The 22280-nt window shown below is 59.9% G+C and overlaps 1 protein-coding gene and 1 long non-coding RNA gene across 24 annotated transcripts, besides 5 other annotated features; one reads left to right on the top strand and one right to left on the bottom strand.

Annotated features, from left to right (window-relative positions):
* Positions 238-963: an enhancer, noted in NCBI's record as "H3K27ac-H3K4me1 hESC enhancer chr19:638495-639220 (GRCh37/hg19 assembly coordinates)". NCBI's record gives its function as "activates a minimal SCP1, AML or CMV promoter by ChIP-STARR-seq in primed H9 embryonic stem cells {active_cell/tissue: H9 hESC(primed)}" and the evidence as "EXISTENCE:reporter gene assay evidence [ECO:0000049][PMID:30033119]".
* On the bottom strand, positions 1152-5994 carry LOC105372234 (uncharacterized). Its single transcript, XR_936226.2, has 2 exons — positions 5563-5994; positions 1152-5474 (listed from the first exon to the last, which is right to left on the bottom strand). It is a non-coding gene; the product is annotated as an uncharacterized LOC105372234 (long non-coding RNA).
* Positions 2338-2397: an enhancer, noted in NCBI's record as "active region_13567". NCBI's record gives its function as "activates an Ori minimal core promoter by ATAC-STARR-seq in GM12878 lymphoblastoid cells {active_cell/tissue: GM12878}" and the evidence as "EXISTENCE:reporter gene assay evidence [ECO:0000049][PMID:35858748]".
* Positions 5708-5967: a silencer, noted in NCBI's record as "silent region_9612". NCBI's record gives its function as "represses an Ori minimal core promoter by ATAC-STARR-seq in GM12878 lymphoblastoid cells {active_cell/tissue: GM12878}" and the evidence as "EXISTENCE:reporter gene assay evidence [ECO:0000049][PMID:35858748]".
* POLRMT (RNA polymerase mitochondrial) lies at positions 5921-22237 on the top strand. Of its 23 annotated transcripts, none has more exons than NR_176425.1 (21): positions 5921-6258; positions 6520-6624; positions 9290-9918; positions 14204-14334; positions 14553-14739; positions 15855-16004; positions 16473-16637; positions 16706-16876; positions 17085-17309; positions 17612-18400; positions 18971-19093; positions 19378-19500; positions 19693-19872; positions 20162-20248; positions 20348-20461; positions 20698-20753; positions 20872-20970; positions 21177-21681; positions 21803-21888; positions 21978-22039; positions 22135-22237. NR_176425.1 is itself a non-coding variant. In NM_001407813.1 (21 exons), exons 1-21 carry the CDS (start codon positions 5946-5948, stop codon positions 22182-22184), a joined length of 3651 nt encoding a protein of 1216 aa, NP_001394742.1. In that variant the 5' UTR covers positions 5921-5945; the 3' UTR covers positions 22185-22237. The 23 variants fall into 23 exon arrangements, 22 of the variants coding, with proteins under 22 accessions (NP_001394742.1, NP_001394740.1, NP_001394739.1 ...); NM_001407813.1 differs by having other exon boundaries at positions 5921-6033; positions 14246-14334; positions 21609-21681; NM_001407811.1 differs by having other exon boundaries at positions 5921-6033; positions 14246-14334; positions 21588-21681.
* Positions 5978-6137: a silencer, noted in NCBI's record as "silent region_9611". NCBI's record gives its function as "represses an Ori minimal core promoter by ATAC-STARR-seq in GM12878 lymphoblastoid cells {active_cell/tissue: GM12878}" and the evidence as "EXISTENCE:reporter gene assay evidence [ECO:0000049][PMID:35858748]".
* Positions 8972-9655: an enhancer, noted in NCBI's record as "H3K4me1 hESC enhancer chr19:629803-630486 (GRCh37/hg19 assembly coordinates)". NCBI's record gives its function as "activates a minimal SCP1, AML or CMV promoter by ChIP-STARR-seq in naive H9 embryonic stem cells {active_cell/tissue: H9 hESC(naive)}" and the evidence as "EXISTENCE:reporter gene assay evidence [ECO:0000049][PMID:30033119]".

Raw genomic sequence — 22280 nt, 5'->3', positions numbered from 1 at the left:
CAGAGAGGGGCAGAGGCGGAGATGCTTGGGGACAGAGATGGACACGGGAGGTCCTGCCGCGTGCGTCAGCCGTGGGACCAGCCAGGCTCCGGGGCATGCCCTCGTGGGACTTCTCTCCCCGCAAATTGTAGTTTCCCGAAAGCCAGGCCCACAAGGGTGTGGGAATGCGCGGGTGGGTGGGCAGGTGACGACTGGGGACGTGTGTTTGGGCAGGTAGGTGGGCAGGAGGGAGGATAGCCACGTAGACCTGTCGGTGGCCGGCTGGCGGGGCACGTCGGAGGCGGCAGGAATGGGGCGGCCCCATTCGCACCCACACTTGCTCCTCCCTTAGAGCCATACCCCAGGCCCCACGGGGAACCACCCAGCAAGGCGGCTGGCCCCCACCCTTCCTCTGCCTGCCCCATGCGCTGGGCCCCAAAAGGTGAGCACAGTGACCCTCACAGACTCACAGCCAAGTGGAGGCATTGACAACTGGGGAAACCGAGGCCTGAGAGGGGCGGCGACCTCCGCTGTGGGGACACAGCTCCCAGCAGCCCAGTCCTGGCCCTGCGGCCACAGCCCCAGGTGGCACCCACCTTTAAATAGCACCAGGCTGAAGACATGGCGACCAGCCTGTCCTGCCGGGGAGCCCTCTGGAGGGATAACCGGTCTGGCTGGACGCTGGGATGCCTTCTTGGTGGCTCAGGCATCTCCTGACCCTCTCTTCCTGGCTTAGGCGGGTCACACAGAGGGTGTGGCAGGTGCCACAGTCTCAGGGACAGGGGTCCCCATGGCTGAGGTCCAGCCTGGCCTGGCTTCCCACACTAGAGCCCTGTGGCCAACACCCCAAGCTTCGGTTCCGCCTCTGTAAAATGGGCCAGTAAAGAGACGTCTGGAGGAAGACAATGAGACCCTCCACGGAGCACGCTGGGCAGAGGGCGCGGCACCAGACACTGAAGAAATGTCCACCGCCTTCTCGCCAGCAGGAGCCCAGGTCTTCCCTTCTTAGAGTGTCCGCCCCCCACCGCGGAAGGGTGATCTGAGGGCCTTGTGAGAAATGATGGGGATGGGACCCACAGCGGTGAGACTGGCCCCACCCCAGGCGTCTGAGTTTCTTTAATGACACCTCGGAAACATCACTCATATACCACACAATTCACCCACTTACACTGTACAGTTCAGTGATTTTATTTTATTATTATTTCTTTGAGACGGAGTCTGGCTCTGTCACCCAGACTGGAGTGCAGTGGTGCGATCTCGGCTCACTGCAAACTCTGCCTCCCTGGTTCAAGCGATTCTCCTGCCTCAGCCTCCTGAGTAGCTGGGATTACAGGCACCTGCCACCACACCCAGCTAATTTTTGTATTTTTAGTAGAGACAGAGTTTTACCATGTTGGCCAGGCTGGTCTCAAACTCCTGACCTCGTGATCTACCTGCTTCTGCCTCCCAAAGTGCTGGGATTACAGGCATGAGCCACTGCACCCAGCCAGTTCAGTGATTTTAGTACCTCGTAGAGTTGTGCAACCACCACGACTGTCTAGTTCCAGAAGATTCCATCACCGCAAGAAGAAGCCCCATCAGCTGTCACTCATCCCCTCTGCCAGCCCCCGGCACCCACACATCCCCTTCCTGCCTCTGTGGATGGGCCTGTTGTGGACATTTCATATAAAGGGGATCACACACTGTGTGTCCTTCTGTGTCTGGCGTCTTTCACTGAGCATGACATCCTCAAGGTGCATCCGCGCTGTGGCTGGGGCAGAGCCTTGCTCCTTTTCACGCCTGTAATCCCAGCTACTCAGGAGGCTGAGGCAGGAGAATCTATACAACCCAGGAGGCGGAGGTTGCAATGAGCTGAGATCATGCCACTGCCCTCCAGCCTGGGCGACAGAGCGAGACTCTGTCTCAAACAAAAACAACAACAACAAACACCGATCAGGGCTGGGCTGGCGCACGCTTTGTATTGAGTGGTGTCTTCCTCTTTGTAGCCTCTGTGGTTGGCCCAAAGGTAAGTCCCCACCCTGATCCCTAGAATGTGACATTTGCCTTATTTGGAAAAAGAGTCTCAATATATTGACACCATGAAGATCTGAACGATATGGAGAAGATTGTCCTGGGGCATCCTAAACGCGGTCACAATACGGAGACAGGAGGAGATTTCACACAGGCAGACGAGGAGGCTGCAGTGCGACCACAGAGACCGAGACGGGAGTGATGTGGCCGCAGGCCAAGCACACCTGGAGCCTTCAAAAGCTGGGAGAGGCAGGAAGGAGCCCCAGGGCCTCTGGAGGGAGCGAGGCCTCCACACACCTTGACTTCAGCCCCGCAGTCCTGATTTTGGACTTTTCATTTCCAGAAATGTAAGAAAATGAACGTTGCTTTAAGGCACCGAGTTTGTGGTAATTTGTCACAGGGGCTCCAGGGACCTGGGCCATCCCCTTCCATCTAGCGATTCTCGACTCTGTGGGGTTTGCTTGGTTGGGTTTTGTTTTGTTTTGTTTTTAGACAGAGTCTCGCTCTGTCGCCCAGGCCGGAGGGCAGTGGTGTGATCTCGGCTCCCTGCAACCTCCGCCTCCCGGGTTCAAGTGATTCTTCTGCCTCAGCCTCCTGAATAGCTGGGATTACAGGCACCCACCATGCCCGGCTAATTTTTGTTATTTTTATTGGAGATGAGGGTTTCACCATGTTAGCCAGGCTGGTCTCCAGCTCCCGGCCTCAGGGGATCCGCCCGCCTCGGCCTCCCGTAGTGCTGGGATGACAGGCGGGAGCCACCACGCCCGGCCAGATATATGGTTTCCCACTTTTGATGGTGATATTAAGTCTCTTCGTAAAACTTAAGCAAGAAAAATAATTAATGTTGTATTTATTAATTTATTTTTGAGACGGAGTCTCGCTCTGTCGTTCAGGCTGGAGTGCAGCGGCGAGATCTCAGCTCACTGCAACCTCAGTCTCTTGGATTCAAGCATTTCTCTTACCTCAGCCTCCCAAGTAGCTGGGATTACAGGCACCACCCACTACCACGTCCGGCTAATTTTTGAATTTTTAGTGGAGACAGGGTTTCACCACGTTGGCCAGGCCAGTCTCGAACTCCTGACCTCAGGGGATCTGCCTGCCTCAGCCTCCCAAAGTGCTGGAATTACAGGCATGAGCCACCATGACCAGCCAATATTGCATTTACTTAATACAGGAGTGGTGGAGACAGATGTAGTTAAAATAAATGGTGGGGCTGGGGGGTGGTGGCGGCTACAGAGTTGCGAGGCTGGAATTTGGGCAATGAGCTGTTTCAGAAACTGCTGTCTTATTCCAAAACCCAGATTATGTTCTTTTTTTTTTGAGACAGGGTCTCGCTCTGTCGCCCAGGCTGGAGTGCAGTGGCTCAATCACAGCTCACTGCAGCCTCTGCCTCCTGGCTCAAGCAATTCTACATCTTCCCACCTCAGCCTCCCAAGTAGATGGGGCCACAGGCAGGCACCATCACAGCCAACAAAATTTTTTTGTATTATTTGTAGTGATGGGGTTTGGCTACATTGCCCAAGGCTGGAGTGCAGTGGTGCGATCTTGGCTCACTGTAACCTCCACCTCTCAGGTTCAAGTGATTTTCCTCCCTTGGCCTCCTGAGTAGCTGGGATTACAGGCACAGGCCACCATGCCCGGCTAATTTTCGTATTTTTAGTAGAGACGGGGTTTCACCATGTTGGCCAGGCTGGTCTCAAACTCCTGACCTCACGTGATCCGCCCGCCTCGGCCTCCCAAAGTGCTGGGATCTCATCAAATAAAAGAAAAGACTAACGCATAAGGAATGGTGAAATAGTTCAGAAGTCGGTTTCCACCCAAGTTTCTGGCTCTGCCAGCCTGCAGGGGTGCAGGGGGTGTCTGTAGGTCTTGGCACACCAGGCCTGGCTGATTCAGGGCCAGGCAGGTGACCCCAGTAGTGGGTGAGGTCTGAGGTCACAGCCCGCTGGGGCACCCTGAGGTGGACTGAGGCAGGTGAGGGAGGGTGCTGCCGTCTGTCGAAAACATTCCCAGCCGGTGGCATCAGTGCGCTCACGCAGGCGTCGGCAGCAGCGTCTGGAATGTGCTGTAAGGAGGCTGCCAGGCCCTTCCAGAGTGAGGTCGAGTCCTCGTTCTGGGCTGATGGGGAAACTGAAGTGCCAGGGTTTGGGGATGGAGGATAGCTTGAGCTGAGGCCCCCGAGCCCCCGTGTGGTCAGGCCCCCTAACTGAGCCCCAGCTACATCTTTGCTCCCTCTCCCCAGCCCCACTCTGCTCAAATTGCTCCTCTGTCCACGCTTGTTCCTGCCTCAGGGCCTTTGCACTTGTTTTGTTTTGAGACAGGGTCCTGTTCTGTCAACCCAGGCTGGAGTACAGTGGCGCCATCTCAGCTCACTGCAGTCTAAACCTCCTGGGCTCAAGCAGTCCTCCTGCCTCAGCCTCCCGAGTATCTGGGACCACAGGTGTGCACCACCATGCCTGGCTAATTTCTTTTTTTCCTTTGGTGGAGACTGGGTCTCAGTATCTCGGTTGCCCAAGGCTTGTCTGGAACTCCTGGGCTCAAGCGATCCTCCCGCCGCAGCCTCCCAAAGTGCTGGGATTACAGGCCTGAGGCACTGAACTGACCTCCCTTTGCACTTTTTTTTTTTTGAGACAGGTTCTCGCTCTGTCACCCAGGCTGGAGTGCAGTGGCGAGATCTTGGCTCACTGCAACCTCCGCCTCCCGGGTTCAAGCGATTCTCCTGCCTCAGCCTCCCGAGTAGCTGGGATTACAGGTGCCCGCCACCACCCCCGGATAATTTTTGTATTTTTACTAGAGACGGGGTTTTGCCATGTTGCCAGGCATGCTTGCGTATTTGCCAAGCTGGTCTCGAACTCTGACCTTAGGTGATCCGCCCGCCTCAGCCTCCCAAAGTGCTGGGATGACAGGCCTGAGCCACCAAACCAGCTCCCCTTTGCAACTGGGATATTAGCCTGGAACACAGTTACCCCCAGATATTCCTATTCTCACCCTTCCCAAGCCTACTGCCCCACAGCAGGCGCTCCCGCCTCTGGCCTGCTGCCCCGGCTGAACGACACAGGTGGGCACACCTTCCAGGTTCCATTCTAAAGCTCCCGCCCTGCTCCTCCTAGGCAGGATCACGCGGAGACCAGGGCAGGCTCTAGGCTCCGAGGTTTATTTCATTCCCTTGACCTCACCCCACTTAGCAGGTGAATCCAAGCCTGCCGCTCCATTCGGCTCCTGCCCCTGAGGGCTTGGGGATTGGAGGGTAAACTGAAGCTGGAGGCTGGGAGTCTCGCGGACTGGGGCTTTCTCTCCTTGCAGCCTCCCTGAGGTCGCACGTGCTGTGTCTTCCAGCAACTTGGTGGCCCTCTCTGAGCCTCAGCTTCCTCCATGATAGACGGCATCCTAATGACTCTTACCCAAAAGTTGTCGTTGGAGCAATGAAGGTTGCGGACAGGAATCTCTAAATTGCAGATGCTGTCCTCGTTATTAGATGAGTATGCCTTGAAAAAAAAAAAAAAAAAGCCGGGCACGGTGGCGGCGTCTGCAATCCCAGCGCTTTGGGAAGCCGAGGGGCGAGGATCTCTTTACCCCAGCAGTTCGAAGCTGCACTGAGCTATGATCACGCCACTGCACTCCAGCCTGGGCCACAACGCGTCCAAAACAAAACCAAAAAAGAAAGAAAAACAGAAAAAAAGTCCGGATTTGAGGTCCTCGGGAAAACAGCCTGAGAGTGCCTCCCAGTTGCCACGGCAACAGCTCTGTCCCGCCCCCTCCCTTTAAAAACAGCAGGAGGAACCAATCAGAGCGTCCACCGGCGCATGCCTTCGCGCCTCCGCTGCATCCTGGGAGTCTACTTCCGGCTGGGGTTTCCCTTCGCAGCCTCCGTCGACCATGAAACCACAACTCCCGGCAGGCGGCGCGGGCGCATGCGCAGGCGCGGGCCGGTGGGGTGGCCTGGAGCGGCGTGCGTAATGTCGGCACTTTGCTGGGGCCGCGGAGCGGCGGGGCTCAAACGAGCCCTACGGCCTTGCGGCCGCCCGGGACTCCCCGGCAAAGAAGGTAACACAAAGGGAGACGGCCAGGCAGCCCGGGGGCCACGGCGTGGGCTCCTCCCCGCGCGGCCGGGGCCTTTGGCGCTTTGACCTTTGCCTCTTTGCACCTGGGCGTGCGCAGCCCACCGACCCGGCCCCGCTTTCCACTCGCCCTTGCCCGCTTTTCGACTGAGGCTCCTCCGTGCAGTCTGACCTTTGACTCGTGGTTTCTTATGCAGCCTCCTGACCCCAGGTGTGGTGTTTAGGGCTCTTAACCTTTGACCTGCTGCACCTCGAGTGCGAGGAACCCTCTCTCGGCGGTTCCGCGCCCGTGTTCGCCGCGGCGGGGCCCTTCCACCTTCGCTGTCTTAGTTTCTTTCCAACTTAAGCCCGTGCTCCGAGAGTTTCCGCTGCGTTTAGGGCTCCTTTGCCCTTCGACCCTTCGGCTTCTGCCTTTATGGAGGCCCCCGCCCACACGCCCGGCCCCGCTCAGCCGCTCTCGTCTTTCCCGCAGGGACCGCCGGTGGCGTCTGCGGCCCCAGGAGGAGCTCGTCCGCCAGCCCCCAGGAGCAAGACCAAGACCGCAGGAAGGACTGGGGCCACGTGGAGCTGCTGGAGGGTGAGCGCGACCCCCACGGCGGCCCGGGAGAGGAGAGTCCGCTCCCTGCTGCCGGGAGAAAAGGCAAAGGCTCAGATTCTGAGACAGGCTGAGGGCGGTCTCCACCTCTCGGGTCCCAGGACACGCCCAGACGGCGTTGCTGAAACATCTCTTGCACCGCTCATGGGCCCTGTCCTTGCTGAGCAGGCTCCTTCCTGGAGCTCTCGTAATTCCCCCTCCCCAGAACCCCACCAGGTGCTCCCACTTTCCAGGGACATAGGTGAGGCCCAAGATTATGTCTGGAGAGACCCCCCCCCCGGCCCCGCCGCCAAGGCCACATGTGCAGAGCCAGGATGTGAACCCTGAACTGACTCAGCTGTCCTGGCTTGGCTCTGGGGGGTAGGCGCCTAATGGAGACTGGATGACTGCGAAACTTGGGAGGGACAGCCCAGGCTCCAGCGGTGGCAGGCCCTCGTCCTGGCCTGGCTGGTGGTGTGGGAGGGAGGTGGGAGCTTCCCTGTGCTTGCTTCCCGCCGGTGCTTCTGTCCCACATCCTGTCTGCGTCCATTAGGCAGCCGGGAAGGGAGAGGCGGGAGAACCTTTATAAAGGGAAAAAACCTGGCCAGGTGCGGTGGCTCACGCCTGTAATCCCAGCACTTTTGGGTGGCCGAGGTGGGCGGATCAAGAGGTCGGGGGTTCGAGGCCTGGTGCGGTGGCTCACGCCTGTACTCCCAGCACTTTTGGGTGGCCAAGGTGGGCGGATCAAGAGGTCAAGGGTCCGAGGCCTGGTGCGGTGGCTCACGCCTGTAATCCCAGCACTTTGGGAGGCCGAGGCGGGCGGATCAAGAGGTCATGAGTTCAAGACCAGCCTGGCCAACATGGTGAAACACTGTCTCTACTAAAAATACAAAAATTAGCTGGGCATGGTGGTGAACGCCTGCAGTGCCAGCTACTCAGGAGGCTGAGGCAGGAAAATCGCTTGAACCCGGGGAGACTGAGACAGGAGAATCGCTTGAACCCGGAAGGTGGAGGTTGCGGTGAGCCGAGATCATGCCATTGCACTCTAGCCTGGGCAACGAGGGAAATTCCATCTCAAAAACAAAACAAAACAAAACAAAGCTCTCAACTGTTAATCCTAAAAGTATCTCCTGAGTTTTGGAGCACTCTGAAGGCGGACATCACGCTTGTCTTTTTATTTCAGCAATTTTTTTTTTCTTGAGACGGATTCTCAATCTGTTGCTAGGCTGGAGTGCAATGGTGCGATCTTGGCTCACTGCAGCCTCCGCCTCCCGAGTTCAAGCAATTCTCCTGCCTCAACCTCCCGAGTAGCTGGAACTACAGGCGCGCACCACCACGCCCGGTTAATTTTTCGTATTTTTAGTAGGGACGGGGTTTCACCGTGTTAGCCAGGATGGTCTTGATCTCCTGACCTCGTGATCCGCCTGCCTCGGCCTCCTAAAGTGCTGGGATTACAGGCGTGAGCCACCACATCTGGACACCTGGGTCCCCCCCCCCCTTTTTTTTTTTGAGACAGGGTCCTGCTCTGTCTCTCAGGCTGCAGCACGGTGGCCTGATCACGGCTCACAGCAGCCAGGAACTCCTAGGCTTAGGTGATTCTTTCACCTCAGCCACCGGAGTAGCTGGGACCACAGGTGCGCGGCCCTGTACCCGGCTTATTTCAACAGTCTTTTTTTTTTAGATGGATTATTGTTCTGTTGCCCAGGCTGGAGTTCAATGGCGCTATCTTGAGTCACTGCAACCTCTGCCTCCCAGGCTCAAGCAATTCTCCTGCCTCAGCCTCCCAAGTAGCTGGTACTATAGACACATGCCACCACGCCCAGCTAATTTTTTGGATTTCTAATAGAGACGGGGTTTCACCATGTTGGCCAGGCTGGTCTCGAACTCCTGACCTTAGGTGATCTTCCTGCCTCGGCCTCCCAAAGTGCTGGGATGACCGACGTGAGCCGCCATGCCCGGCCAGCAATAGATTTCCAACAAGGCTTCTTTAAAGAGATACAGAACACTTAGGCATTGATTGGTTGGCAAAAATGCAACCTGAGGCGGCACGAGCAGGAGCCGCGTTTTCCCTGCGAGCTAGTGGCTCAGCGTCCACCGGTGTAGACACTGGGAGCCTAGGAGTGTGTGTGTGGCAGCTCCACCAGCTGGGGGGGTCTTGCTGAGGCGGGGTGCGAACTTGCAGGCCATGGTTGAGCCAGGGAGTGGGCGGTTCAGGGTCCTGGGAGTCTGTGCAGAGGCCCTGAGCTAGACAGTGAGAGGGGCAGGGGAGGCGGGGGCCACCTGGATAGATTCTGGAGGCAAGCCCAGAGGAGGTACTGAGAGGTGGACGGAGGGAGTTGTCACAGACCCCGGGTTCTGGGCCTGTGCACCTGGAGGGTCTGAGCGGCCAGTGACCGGGGAGACGTGGTGCTGCAGGTTTCGGTGGCAGCTTGTTAGGGCTGCTGAGTTCTGTGAGGCTCGGGTGGGGAGGTGCGGAGGTGGTGGGGTGCGTGTGTCTGGAAAGCAGCGGGCAGACCTTACAACGTTGTTGGCAAGTATGAGGAATTCACGCCTTGGGTCCCAGCGAGCTCAGCCACCTGCACCTCCTGGCCTGGCTCAGGGTCCAGAGAGACGGGTGCTCGAATGGGGAGGGGGTCCCTCTCATGTCCTCGCCTTCTGCCCCTCACAGTGCTCCAGGCGCGGGTGCGGCAGCTGCAGGCTGAGAGCGTGTCGGAGGTGGTGGTGAACAGGGTGGATGTGGCGCGGCTCCCAGAATGTGGCAGTGGAGATGGTAGCCTCCAGCCACCCAGGAAGGTCCAGATGGGGGCCAAGGATGCCACCCCGGTGCCCTGTGGCCGCTGGGCAAAGATACTGGAGAAGGATAAGCGGACCCAGCAGATGCGTATGCAGCGGTTGAAGGCGAAGCTGCAGATGCCATTCCAGAGCGGGGAGTTCAAGGCGCTGACCAGGCGCCTGCAGGTGGAGCCCCGGCTCCTGAGCAAGCAGATGGCCGGGTGCCTGGAGGACTGCACGCGCCAGGCCCCCGAGAGCCCCTGGGAGGAGCAGCTGGCCCGGCTGCTGCAGGAGGCCCCTGGGAAGCTGAGCCTCGATGTGGAGCAGGCCCCGTCGGGGCAGCACTCGCAGGCCCAGCTCTCAGGTCAGCAGCAGAGGCTCCTGGCCTTCTTCAAGTGCTGCCTGCTCACTGACCAGCTGCCCCTCGCCCACCACCTGCTGGTCGTCCACCACGGCCAGCGGCAGAAGCGGAAGCTGCTCACGCTGGACATGTACAACGCCGTGATGCTTGGCTGGGCGCGGCAGGTGAGTGCAGCCGGGAGCCGGGCCACCTGCCCTGGTCGTTGGAGACAGGAACTTGCCCTCATTTAGACTGGACTTTTCTCTCTTAGCCCCCAGGTTCAAGTCCTTTGTTTTTTATTTTAATAATTCTTTTAGGCTTTTCAAATACAAATCACGTGTGACTCTCAAATTTTGAAAATGACCAAAAAAGTAGGGAGAAATTCTGCTAATGCCTTGAGCATTTCCTTCCGTTCTTTCTCGGGGCTCGTGAATCTGTCTGGGCAGGGGTGCTTTTGGCCTCGTCGGGGGGCAGCCTGCAGAGCCCTCGTCAGGATGAGGCTTTGGTGTTGGGGTTGACTTTGCTCCTTTTTCTGGTTTCCTGAGGTGGAAGGTCGGGCTGCTGTGCTGAGATCCTTCTGTGTGAAATGTGGGTGTTCACTGGCGCCGCATTCCCTCTGAGCACAGCTTTAGATGTATCCCACCCATCTTCGTTGTGGTTCATCTGGAGTATTTTCCAATTTCCCTTGCCGTTTTCTTTTTGTTTGTTTATTTATTTGTTTTCTGGGACATACTCTCCCTGTTACTAGGTTGGAGTGCGGTGGTGCGATCTCGGCTCATGGCCACCTCCACCTCCCAGGTTCAAGTGATTATCCTGCCTCAGCCTCCTAAGTAGCTGGAGTTACAGGTGCCCGCCACCACCCCCGATTAATTTTTGTATTTTGAGTAGAGACGGGGGTTTCACCGTGTTGGCCAAGCTGGTCTCAAACTCCTGACCTCGTGATCTGCCCCCCTGAGCCTCCCGAGGAGCTGAGATTACAGGCGTGAGCCACCGTATCCGGCCAAAGTTTCTCCTCGGAACTCTTGGTTGTTTTGGAGGGTGTTGTTTACACACCCTTTCAAAGCAGCAAACGTTCCCAGCTTTCTCCCCCCCCATGATCCTTCAGCCCTAATTTGAGAAACAACAGTAAAAGCTTCTCTTAATATTTGGGTAAACATGGGATACTATTATATTAAAATACAGATATCGCAATATTAAGACCAATTCGTGGTAGAGAACTTGATGTGCTTCTTTATTAACGCATCAAACAGCGAAATTCAGGATCAGGTGGGGCCAGTCTTGCGGTGAAGTCCGCAGTGCTCTTACCGCGAGGTGGAGGCGGCGTGCTGCCTGGTTCCTCCTTGCTGCAGGGGGCGCCAGACTCCGGGAGGACTGAGGATGAGGGTCGTGTATTTTCCCCTCCAAGGTCACAAGCCCCCTGGATTCCCTGGGCAGAGAGCCCACACTGTAACAGGGCGCTTTTGGGATCGGCCCCTACGAAAGTGTCCCAAACCTGGCGGCTTGCACAGCAGAAACGCACTCTTAGCACGAGCCCAGAAGTCTGGAATCAAGATGTCTGCAGACCCGAAGTCTCTCCAGAGGCTCTAGCAGGGGCCCCTCCTGCCTCTCCCAGCGTTCCGGGGTGGCCAGCAGTCCTGGATGTCGCTGGACTGCGAGCTCAGCCTCCCGAGCAGCTGGGATTACAGGCGTGTGCCACCACCCCCGGATAATTGTTTTAATTTTTATTTTTAGTAGAGGTGGGGTTTCAGCATGTTAGCCAGGCTAAGGCATTGCTTCTATCTTTTTTTTTTTTTTTTTTTTGAGATAGACTCTCTGTCTGTTGCCCAGGCTAGGGTGCAGTGCCATGATCTCGGCTCACTACAGCCTCCGCCTCCTGGGTTCAATAATTCTCCCTGCCGCAGCCTCCTGAGTGGCTGGGATTACAGGGACTCACCACCACGCCCGGCCAATTTTTGTATTTTTAGTAGAGACGGGCTTTTGCCATGTTGGCCGGGCTGGTCTCAAACTCCTGACCTCAGGTAATCCGCCCGCCTCAGCCTCCCTAAGTGCTGGGATTACAGGCGTGAGCGACCGCGCCCGGCCACGTATTCTAACCAGCACCATCCAGTAGAACTTTCTATGATGTTGGGAATTTTCCGCATCTGCCAACAGCTGTGTGTGCTACTGAACACTTGAAGCTGGTGAAAGGGAAGAACTGAATATTTCAATTTAAGGACTATGTGTGGCCAGTGAGGTCTACCATACAGAGGTTGTTTAGAAACTGCCCCAAAACCGGCCGGGCACAGTGGCTCACGCCTGTAATCCCAGCACTTTGGGAGGCTGAGGCGGGCGGATCACGAGGTCAGGAGATGAGACCATCCTGGCTAACACAGTGAAACCCCGTCTCTACTAAAAATATACAAAAAATTAGCCGGGTGTGGTGGCGGGCGCCTGCAGTCCCAGCTACTTGGGAGGCTGAGGCAGGAGGATGGAGTGAACCTGGGAGGCAGAGCTTGCAGTGAGCCGAGATCGAGCCACTGCACTCCAGCCTGGGCGACAGAGCGAGACTCCGTCTCAAAAAAAAAAAAAAAAAAAAATGCCCCAAAACTCATGTCTCTGGTCTCTGGTGTGTGGCCACCTCATGTCACAGCATGTCTTCAGCTGCAGGACTATGGGGTGGGAGGATGTAAGGGAATTTTTTTCCCTTTGGAATAGTCTGTTACAGTTACAGGCCACTCTTAAGCAGCCACTGGGTCAAAGGAGAAATTGCTCAGAACAGGGATGTCAGGAAAAATGAATACAAGAAAAAAATTATATATATATGTTATTTTATATATATATATATATGTGTGTGTGTGTATATTTTAAGACAGAGTCTCCAAGTCTGTCGACAGCAAAGTTTCTGTCTCCCAGGCTGGAGTGCAGTGGTGAGATCCCGGCTTACCGCAATTTCCGCTTTCTGCGTTCAAGTGATTCTCCTGCCCCAGGCTCCCAGTAGCTGAGATTACAGGCATGTGCCACCACGCCCAGCTAATTTTTTTTTTTTTTTGTATTTTTAGTGGAGGGAGCACAGGCATGAGCCACCACGCCCAGCTAATTTTTTTTTTTTTTTTTTGTATTTTTAGTGGAGATGGGGTTTCACTATGTTGGCCAGGCTGGTCTTAAACTCCTGACCTTGTGATCCTCCTGTCTTGGCCTCCCAAAGTGCTGGGGTTACAGGCATGAGCCACTGTGCCTGGCCAAAAATTAAATGAAAAAAAAAAAAATTGCAGGGGATATTTAAGCTATACATGGCTGGGCGTGGTGGCTCACACCTGTAATCCCAGCACTTTGGGAGGCCGAGGCGGGTGGATCCCCTGAGGTCAGGAGTTGGAGACCAGCCTGGCCAACAGGGCGAAACCCCATCTCTACTAAAAATACAAAATAATTAGCTGGGTGTGGTGGCATGTGCCTGTAGTCCCAGCTACTCAGGAGGCTGAGGCAGGAGAATCGGTTGAACCCGGGAGGCGGAGGTTGACAGTGAGCTGAGATTGCGCCACTGCACTCCAGCCTGGGCGACAGAGCGAGACTCTATCTAAAAAAATAATTAAATAAAATTTCCAAAGAAGAAGTAAACTATGAAGTTCGAAAACACTTGGAGATAATGAAAATGAAAACACCACCTGTCAGAAGTCCTGGGATGCAGCTGACACAGTGCTCGCAGGGTAATTTATAGTCACAAAATGCCTATATTCGGAAAGGTGATGGCCGGGCGCGGTGGTGCACACCTGTCATCCCAGCACTTTGGGAGGCTGAGGCTGGCGGATCACGATGTCAGGAGTTCGAGACCAGCCTGGCCAGCATGGTGAAACCCCGTATCTGCTAAGAATACAAAAAATTAGCTGGTGTGGTGGCGTGTGCCTGTAATCCCAGCTACTCAGGAGGCTGAGGCAGGAGAAGTGCTGGAACCTGGGAGGCAGAGAACCCGGCCCAGCTGAGATTGTGCCACTGCACTCCAGCCTGGGCAACAGAGCAAGACTCCATCTTGGGGGGAAAAAAAGTGAAACATCTCAGACCAAATACGTCACCTTTCACCTTAGGAAACTAGAAGAAGAAGCTGTCACTAAACCTAAAGCAAGTAGATGAGAGGAAGTTACAAAGATTAAAACAAATCGATGAAATGGAAGGCAGAAACAGCAGAGAACAGTCAAGCCAAGTCAGTCCTTTGAAAAGATCCACACAATTGACAAATCTGGAGGTTTAACAAGCTGCCTCCCAGAGGAACGTGAACCTCCCACAGTCCCACCTGGCGGGCCATGCGGCTGCCTCTGCAGGTGGAGCTTGTGTGTCAGAACCTCAGGGGGATGCATCGGTCTGCCCAGCTGGCCACTCCTGCCTGGTGACCCTGTCCCCTGCTGAGCTGGTGGCTACAGAGAAGGGGTCTCCAGGGAGCAGGGAGGATGTGGAGGTTGGGCCATCCCCCCAGACCCTCACCCTGGCTTGGTCTCCCAGGGTGCCTTCAAGGAGCTGGTATATGTGTTATTCATGGTGAAGGATGCCGGCTTGACTCCGGACCTGCTGTCCTATGCGGCTGCCCTCCAGTGCATGGGGAGGCAGGACCAGGACGCCGGGACCATCGAAAGGTAGGTGGTGTCGGGAGGGCCCCCACCCCCCACCATGTCCCTCCCAGGGTTTTAAGATCTGGGACGGTGCCTGGGCTGGGGGCTGGGGACCCCCAGAGGGCCTGACAGCCACACCGAGACCTGCAGGCTAGCAGGAGGTGGTCACGAGGTTCCCCTGGGGTCTGTGGAAGCCCAGCGTGGGGCTGGCCCGTCCCTCGAGCAGGCCGCCTGCACCACAGGTGTCTGGAACAGATGAGCCAGGAGGGGCTGAAGCTGCAGGCACTCTTCACCGCCGTTCTGCTGTCTGAGGAGGATCGGGCCACTGTTCTGAAGGCCGTGCACAAGGTGAAGCCCACCTTCAGCCTCCCGCCGCAGCTGCCGCCCCCGGTCAACACCTCCAAGCTGCTCAGGGACGTGTATGCCAAGGTGAGCCCACGTGGGCCCCGGCAGACTTCAGTCCTTATAGCTGCCCTTTGGGGGTTCCTGGAGCCTCAGCTCAGACCAATGGGCCTCCCCGGTGCCCAGGGCTCACCTGGGCTGGGCCCTGAATTCCTCCCTTCCTCCTCTGAGAAGATGGGAGGACCCAGAGCTGGGAGGGTCTTGGCCCTGAGGGTGTGGGCTCAGGGGGACGAGGTGGTCGGGGGCCGCAGAGAGAGGGTGGGGTGACAGGAGAGCAGTGCGTTTGAGTGGGGCTGCCAGGTGCACGCAGTGGGCTCGTCTGTTACTGAGGTGTAATTCACCTGCCATAAAACCCTCTTAAAGGTGTAATTCAGCGATTTTAGTGTAGTCACGGTTGTCTAATTCTAGAATGTTCCATCACCCTAAAAGGAAGCCTCGTCCCCATCCCCGTCACTCCCCATCCCCTCCCCATCTGTGGATGAGTCTGCTCTGGACATTCCATAGAAATGGGACCACACACTGCGAGACCTTTTGTGTTTGGCATCTCCCACTGAGCGTGACGTCCTCATGGTGCCTCCGGGAGGCGACCTGGGTCAGGGCTGAGTCATGCTCCGGTGCGTGGATGGCCGCGCCGTGCCCGTCTGTTCGTCCGTTTATGGGACGTTGGGCTGTTTCTACTTATCGACTGCGAGTCATGCAGCTGTGAACGTTTGTGTACAAGCTTTTATGTGGACGTGCGTCTTTGATTCTCAAAGCGCTAGGCTTTAGTTGTTATTTTTAATTCATCTATTTCTGGATGGGTCACATTCATACAGTTCTGAGTTTGAGGAGAAAACAGCCAACATCTGGGGGTGCAGTGAACGGTCTCCCCAGGCTCTGCCAGCTCCCAGCATCACCGCCCCTGCCACCCCCTGCACGGTGCCCAGTGTCCCTTCTAGAGGGGTCGAGGCCAGGAGGGTCAAGGCCTTTGGTTTGCACTGCTGGCACTGACTTTACCCGCAGCCCGCCTTTCCCCGCGTCAGCGATAGCCACCAGCAACTTGCAGGAGACGCAGAAACGCGTGCACCCATGCTGTCTCGGGGTCCTGGGAGGGCAGGTCGCCCTCTGGCAAGCCCCCAACCTCACTACCCCCATCCCTGCAGGATGGGCGTGTGTCCTACCCGAAGCTGCACCTGCCCTTGAAGACCCTGCAGTGCCTCTTTGAGAAGCAGCTCCACATGGAGCTGGCCAGCAGGGTGTGCGTGGTGTCCGTGGAGAAGCCCACGTTGCCAAGCAAGGAGGTCAAGCACGCGGTAGGGGCTGAGCCGGGGTCCCGTGTCCGCCGCAGGGGCTGAGCCGGGGTCGCGTGTCCACCGCACGGGCTGAGCCGGGGTCCCGTGTCCGCCGCAGGGGCTGAGCCGGGGTCGCGTGTCCGCCGCAGGGGCTGAGCTCCGTGTATGCGGTTGAATTGCTCATGCCCTGGTCTGGTCATGCAGGGCCTAGGAACTCAGCCTGGCTGCCGCTCAGGGAAAACTTGTGGGGTCCCGAGGTTGGGTCTTGGCCTGTGCTTCTGCGCACACTGCAGCTGGGCTTTTGCTCTTGGCTGCGTCAGGCACGCTGAAGCCGGCAGAGGGCAGGCCGGGGTGAGGAGCTACCCGGAACACACAGCAGGGACCTTGAGGGCCATGAGGTCTCTGCAGGGAGCTGCGGTGACCCCCGTCCTGTGAGCCTGGGTCCCACCAGCTGCCACGGGGCTCACCGGGCCCGTTCATCCCCCGCAGCGGAAGACCCTGAAGACCCTGCGGGACCAATGGGAGAAAGCACTGTGCCGGGCGCTGCGGGAGACCAAGAACCGCCTAGAGCGCGAGGTGTACGAGGGCCGGTTCTCACTTTACCCCTTCCTGTGCCTGCTGGACGAGCGCGAGGTGGTGCGGATGCTCCTGCAGGTGCGTCTTCCTCCGCGCGGCCGGGTCCCCGGGCGGGGCGGGCAGGCACTCACGGCTGCCTTCCGCAGGTCCTGCAGGCGCTGCCCGCCCAAGGTGAGTCCTTCACCACCCTGGCCCGGGAGCTGAGTGCGCGCACTTTCAGCCGGCACGTGGTGCAGAGGCAGCGGGTCAGTGGCCAGGTGCAGGCGCTGCAGAACCACTACAGGAAGTACCTCTGCTTGCTGGCCTCCGACGCCGAGGTGAGGCTCGCACCCCCTCTCCTCCTGGCTGGGGCCAGTGGTGGGTGGGCGCTCTCCCTCCCTGGAGCAGCCGGGTTTGCACCCAAGCTTCAGTCTGTTCATCTGTATGCTTGGGCTGACAGATGCCCCACCGGGCGTCAGGCACGGGCGGTGGGGCATCTAGCTCAGGGGCCCCGGTGCCCAGCGCCCTGACCGCCCTGTCCTACAGGTGCCCGAGCCCTGCCTGCCGCGGCAGTACTGGGAGGAGCTGGGGGCGCCCGAGGCCCTGCGGGAGCAGCCCTGGCCCCTGCCAGTGCAGATGGAGCTGGGCAAGCTGCTGGCGGAGATGCTGGTGCAGGCTACGCAGATGCCATGCAGCCTGGACAAGCCGCATCGTTCCTCTCGGCTTGTCCCCGTGCTCTACCACGTGTATTCCTTCCGCAACGTCCAGCAGGTGCCAGGCAGTGCCCTCCTGAGCTGGGGGGCATCCCGCTGGGAGGACCAGGGACCCCATGGGGTTGGCGCCTTTGGGCGGAGCCTTGATCTCAGCGCAGCCGTCAGTACCTCCCAGGACTCGGGACACACCATGGGTGTCCATGCAGGTGTCCGGCCGTTTCTGGAGGTGGCTTCTGTTCGTGGGAGGCCACACTGGTTTCTTGTTGGCCGGGGAGCCGGCCCCTCTCACCCAAGTTTAAGGGGTGGGAACAGGAAAGCCCCAGCACCGGGGCCCTGACCCGTCTGCCTGTCGCACCCCAGATCGGCATCCTGAAGCCGCACCCGGCCTACGTGCAGCTGCTGGAGAAGGCCGCGGAGCCCACGCTGACCTTCGAGGCGGTGGATGTACCCATGCTTTGCCCCCCGCTGCCCTGGACATCGCCGCACTCTGGTGCTTTCCTGCTCAGCCCCACCAAGCTGATGCGCACGGTGGAAGGCGCCACGCAGCACCAGGAGCTGCTGGAAACCTGCCCGCCCACCGCGCTGCATGGCGCACTGGACGCCCTCACCCAACTGGGCAACTGCGCCTGGCGCGTCAACGGGCGCGTGCTGGACCTGGTGCTGCAGCTCTTCCAGGCCAAGGGCTGCCCCCAGCTAGGCGTGCCGGCCCCGCCCTCCGAGGCGCCCCAGCCGCCCGAGGCCCACCTGCCGCACAGCGCCGCGCCCGCCCGCAAGGCCGAGCTGCGCCGTGAGCTGGCGCACTGCCAGAAGGTGGCCCGGGAGATGCACAGCCTGCGGGCGGAGGCGCTGTACCGCCTCTCGCTGGCGCAGCACCTGCGGGACCGCGTCTTCTGGCTGCCGCACAACATGGACTTCCGCGGCCGCACCTACCCCTGCCCGCCGCACTTCAACCACCTGGGCAGCGACGTGGCGCGGGCCCTGCTGGAGTTCGCCCAGGGCCGCCCGCTCGGCCCGCACGGCCTGGATTGGCTCAAGATCCACCTGGTCAATCTCACGGGGTTGAAGAAGCGGGAGCCGCTGCGGAAGCGCCTGGCCTTTGCGGAGGAGGTGATGGATGACATCCTGGACTCCGCGGACCAACCCTTGACGGTAGGGGCGGGGCCCCCGCATTCCCCGCCCTCCCGGCACCCCCGCGCCCTCCCCCGGCGCCCCCGCGCCCTCCCCCGGCGCCCCCGCGCCCCCTGCCCGTCTTCCTCCTCCCCTCCCCCTCCCCTGGCGCCCCCTGCCCGTCTTCCTCCTCCCCTCCCCCTCCCCTGGCGCCCCCACGTCCCCCGCCCGCTCTCCTCCCCCGCGCCCCCTGCCCGTCCTGCTTCTCCCTTCTCCCCTGCCCCAGGGCCCCCGCGTTCCCCACGTTCCCCCCTCCCCTGCATCCGCCGAGCTGCTTCCTCCCCCGGCGCCCCCAGGTCCTCTGTCCACCCTCCTCCCCCGGCAGCTCCGGACACGCTTGTTTCAGCCCGGTCCACCCGCAGCTCCCATCCTCCATCCGTGGCTATGGAGAACTCATCCAGCCACCGCCCCGTCTCTCGCCCACATGCGTCCCGTGTTCACTATCACGGGTGTGCGTCTCCTCCCCATTTCCCACCTCCCCGCAACACAGCCTCCCAGCGGGCTCAGGGATCGGGCCCGGGCCTCACTGCCCCCCATCCGCTGTCCCCGCAGGGCCGAAAGTGGTGGATGGGCGCGGAGGAACCCTGGCAGACGCTGGCCTGCTGTATGGAGGTGGCGAACGCTGTGCGCGCCTCCGACCCTGCCGCCTATGTCTCCCACCTCCCCGTCCATCAGGTGAGCCAGCTGGGTCTGGCCCCCGAGGCCGTGCAGTGTGCACTGGGCCTGGGGCTCGACTTGAGGGTGTGAGATTTCACCTTCGCTCGTGGTATTCTCTGGAGGTGGTCCTAGAGTGTGCGGGAGCCATGGCTCCTGGTCTCTCCCGGGAGCGTGCGGGGGCTCCGGTGCACTTGGCTGGGGGGTGCACGGCCCTAGGAACGGCTCGACCTGGGGGGTGGTTTGGGGTCCCACACGTCTCTGCCTCTCTAGCTTCCATCTCCCGTTTGCCGCCCCTTCCTCAGGACGGCTCTTGCAACGGCCTGCAGCATTATGCTGCTCTGGGCCGCGACAGCGTGGGCGCCGCCTCCGTCAACCTGGAGCCCTCGGATGTGCCGCAGGACGTGTACAGCGGCGTGGCCGCGCAGGTAGGGTGTGCCCTGCTGCCCGGGGGCATCTCGGCGTGGGGGCAATGTGAGCCCTGAGTCTCGGCCCCAGGTGCCCTCACCTTGGCCTGTCCTGAGGATGTGGTGGGGCTGGGGCGGGGGCTTCATGGGTGCTTGGTGGCCCCTGGGCTGCTAGCGGGGCTGACCCGCGCCCCCGGCCCACCCGCCGTGCAGGTGGAGGTGTTCCGTAGGCAGGACGCCCAGCGGGGCATGCGGGTGGCACAGGTGCTGGAAGGTTTCATCACCCGCAAGGTGGTGAAGCAGACGGTGATGACGGTGGTGTACGGGGTCACGCGCTATGGCGGGCGCCTGCAGATTGAGAAGCGCCTCCGGGAGCTGAGCGACTTTCCCCAGGTGCGCCAGGCATGTCGCGCTGCGAACACGTTGGTTTCACTGCCATTTAAAACTCAGACGGGTGTGCCCCCGACCCAGCCTCCCAGCAGGAGCCCTGGCTGCTCCCCCAGACCACTGGCTGCCTGTTAGGGCTTGGGCGTTTCTTGCTGACTGCGTGGGCGCCAGGCCCCATTCCCCTGCCCCCCTGCTAGGCCCTAGGCCTTGGGCCTCAGTGGCTCTGAAATAGGGGGGAGTAGGGCGTGAACGGGCCAGCCCCTGAGGACCTGCACCTGCTGCCCGCCCTCTGCAGGAGTTCGTGTGGGAGGCCTCTCACTATCTCGTACGCCAGGTCTTCAAGAGTCTACAGGAGATGTTCTCGGGGACCCGGGCCATCCAGGTACGTCCTGTCCTGTCCCCGCTCGGCCAGGACTCCCTAAGCAAGTGGACGGGATCCCCGGCCTGAGCCCCCTGCCCTGAGACGGCCTGTGTCCCACAGCACTGGCTGACCGAGAGTGCCCGCCTCATCTCCCACATGGGCTCTGTGGTGGAGTGGGTCACACCCCTGGGCGTCCCCGTCATCCAGCCCTATCGCCTGGACTCCAAGGTCAAGGTCAGTGTACCACCCCATCCCTCCCCAGTGTGCCACCATCCCAGTGTAACAGCGTCCCAGTGTACCAGTGCCCCAGCGTACCACCACCCCAGTGTACCACCGCCCCAGTGTGCCACCCCATCCCGCGCCAGTGTGCCACCATCCTAGCGTGCCACTACCCCAGTGTACCACCACCTCAATGTACCACCACCGTGCTGGGCCTCGGGTGGGACTCACCGGCCCCTTCCCCTTTTTAGCAAATAGGAGGTGGAATTCAGAGCATCACCTACACCCACAACGGAGACATCAGCCGGTGAGTGGGGGGCCCGGGCTGGGGCCTGGCCGGGGGTCTGGAGAGCAGCCACGGTGGAGACAGCGGCCAGTTAGGGGTGTCCCTGGGCCGCCCCCACCGGCACCTGTTCCGTCCTCAGAAAGCCCAACACACGTAAGCAGAAGAACGGCTTCCCGCCCAACTTCATCCACTCGCTGGACTCCTCCCACATGATGCTCACCGCCCTGCACTGCTACAGGTGGGCGTCTCCGGACGGCGTGGGTGCCGCTCGCCTCCCAGGGGCGTCTTCTGGCTAGCAGGGCACAGCTGGCAAGGCTGGGTCTAGCTGGGGGCAGGGACTGGGCAGAGTGGATCTGCTGTGTCTGTGGGGCCTGTGTAGAGGCCCTGAGGCTGTGTGCCCCGAATGTAGGTGGTCCTGGCAGCTCCCCTCCTGTGGCCCGACAGGGAGAGCCGAGCATGGGCGCTGCCCCTTCCTGCTGGGCATTTCTTGGCACCGCGATGTGTGGTTAGATCTGGAGCACGTGGAGGTCGTTCCAGCAGAATCTACCGGCCACGGGAGCTGGGAATGCTCAGGATGCGGGGTGGTGGCCCTGGCAGGAGGGGACCTCGTAGCCGCCCTCGGAGCTGAGGCTCCCACAGCAGCGTGGGGGGCGGCAGGGGTGGGGCGAGGAGGCTTCTGGGAACATTTCCTCCCCCTGTACTGATACCTAACCCAGGATGTTTGGGGAGGGGCGGGGCGAGGGGTGGGGCGAGGCCTGCAGGAGGGTGGGCTTCCCTGGACCTCAAGTGGAGGGGGCTGAGCGCAGGGCCAGGATGCTGGTCACTGGGTGGCCCTGTGAGCTCCCCTCCCTTCAGGAGTCCTCCGCTCTGCCACAGGAAGGGCCTGACCTTCGTCTCTGTGCACGACTGTTACTGGACTCACGCAGCTGATGTCTCCGTCATGAACCAGGTGCCCCCGTAGTCTGAGCCTCAGTCCACCCATGGGTGGGGCCCCCACACTGGGGCGTTGGGTAGGGGTGGTGCCCAGAGCCTGCCTGATCACCCCTGGGGATCCTCTGACTCCTGCCCAGGTGTGCCGGGAGCAGTTTGTCCGCTTGCACAGCGAGCCCATCCTGCAGGACCTGTCCAGATTCCTGGTCAAGCGGTTCTGCTCTGAGTAAGGCGCTCCCTGACCCCAACTACCTGGATTCCCCCCCCACCCCAAAACCTGGCCTCAGCCTCACCCCACCCTGCTTCCAACCCCAGGCCCCAGAAGATCTTGGAGGCCAGCCAGCTGAAGGAGACACTGCAGGCGGTGCCCAAGCCAGGTAGGCGGGTGGGCAGCCTCGCAAGGGTGGCTCGAACTGCGGGCCAGGGCGGGGCTTTCCCGCCACCCACGCCGTCCGCTCTGCTTCCTCCGCAGGGGCCTTCGACCTGGAGCAGGTGAAGCGTTCCACCTACTTCTTCAGCTGACACCCCGTGAGCCTTGTCAGTGTGTAAATAAAGCTCTTTTGCCACCCCCAGGAGCCACTGTCTTCAGGAAGGGTGCACGCCCTGCGGGTCTCGGGC

This window comes from Homo sapiens, chromosome 19, assembly GCF_000001405.40.
Source record: "Homo sapiens chromosome 19, GRCh38.p14 Primary Assembly".
Lineage (NCBI taxonomy): Eukaryota > Metazoa > Chordata > Mammalia > Primates > Hominidae > Homo > Homo sapiens.
This window is presented reverse-complemented; position numbering and strand designations above follow the sequence as displayed.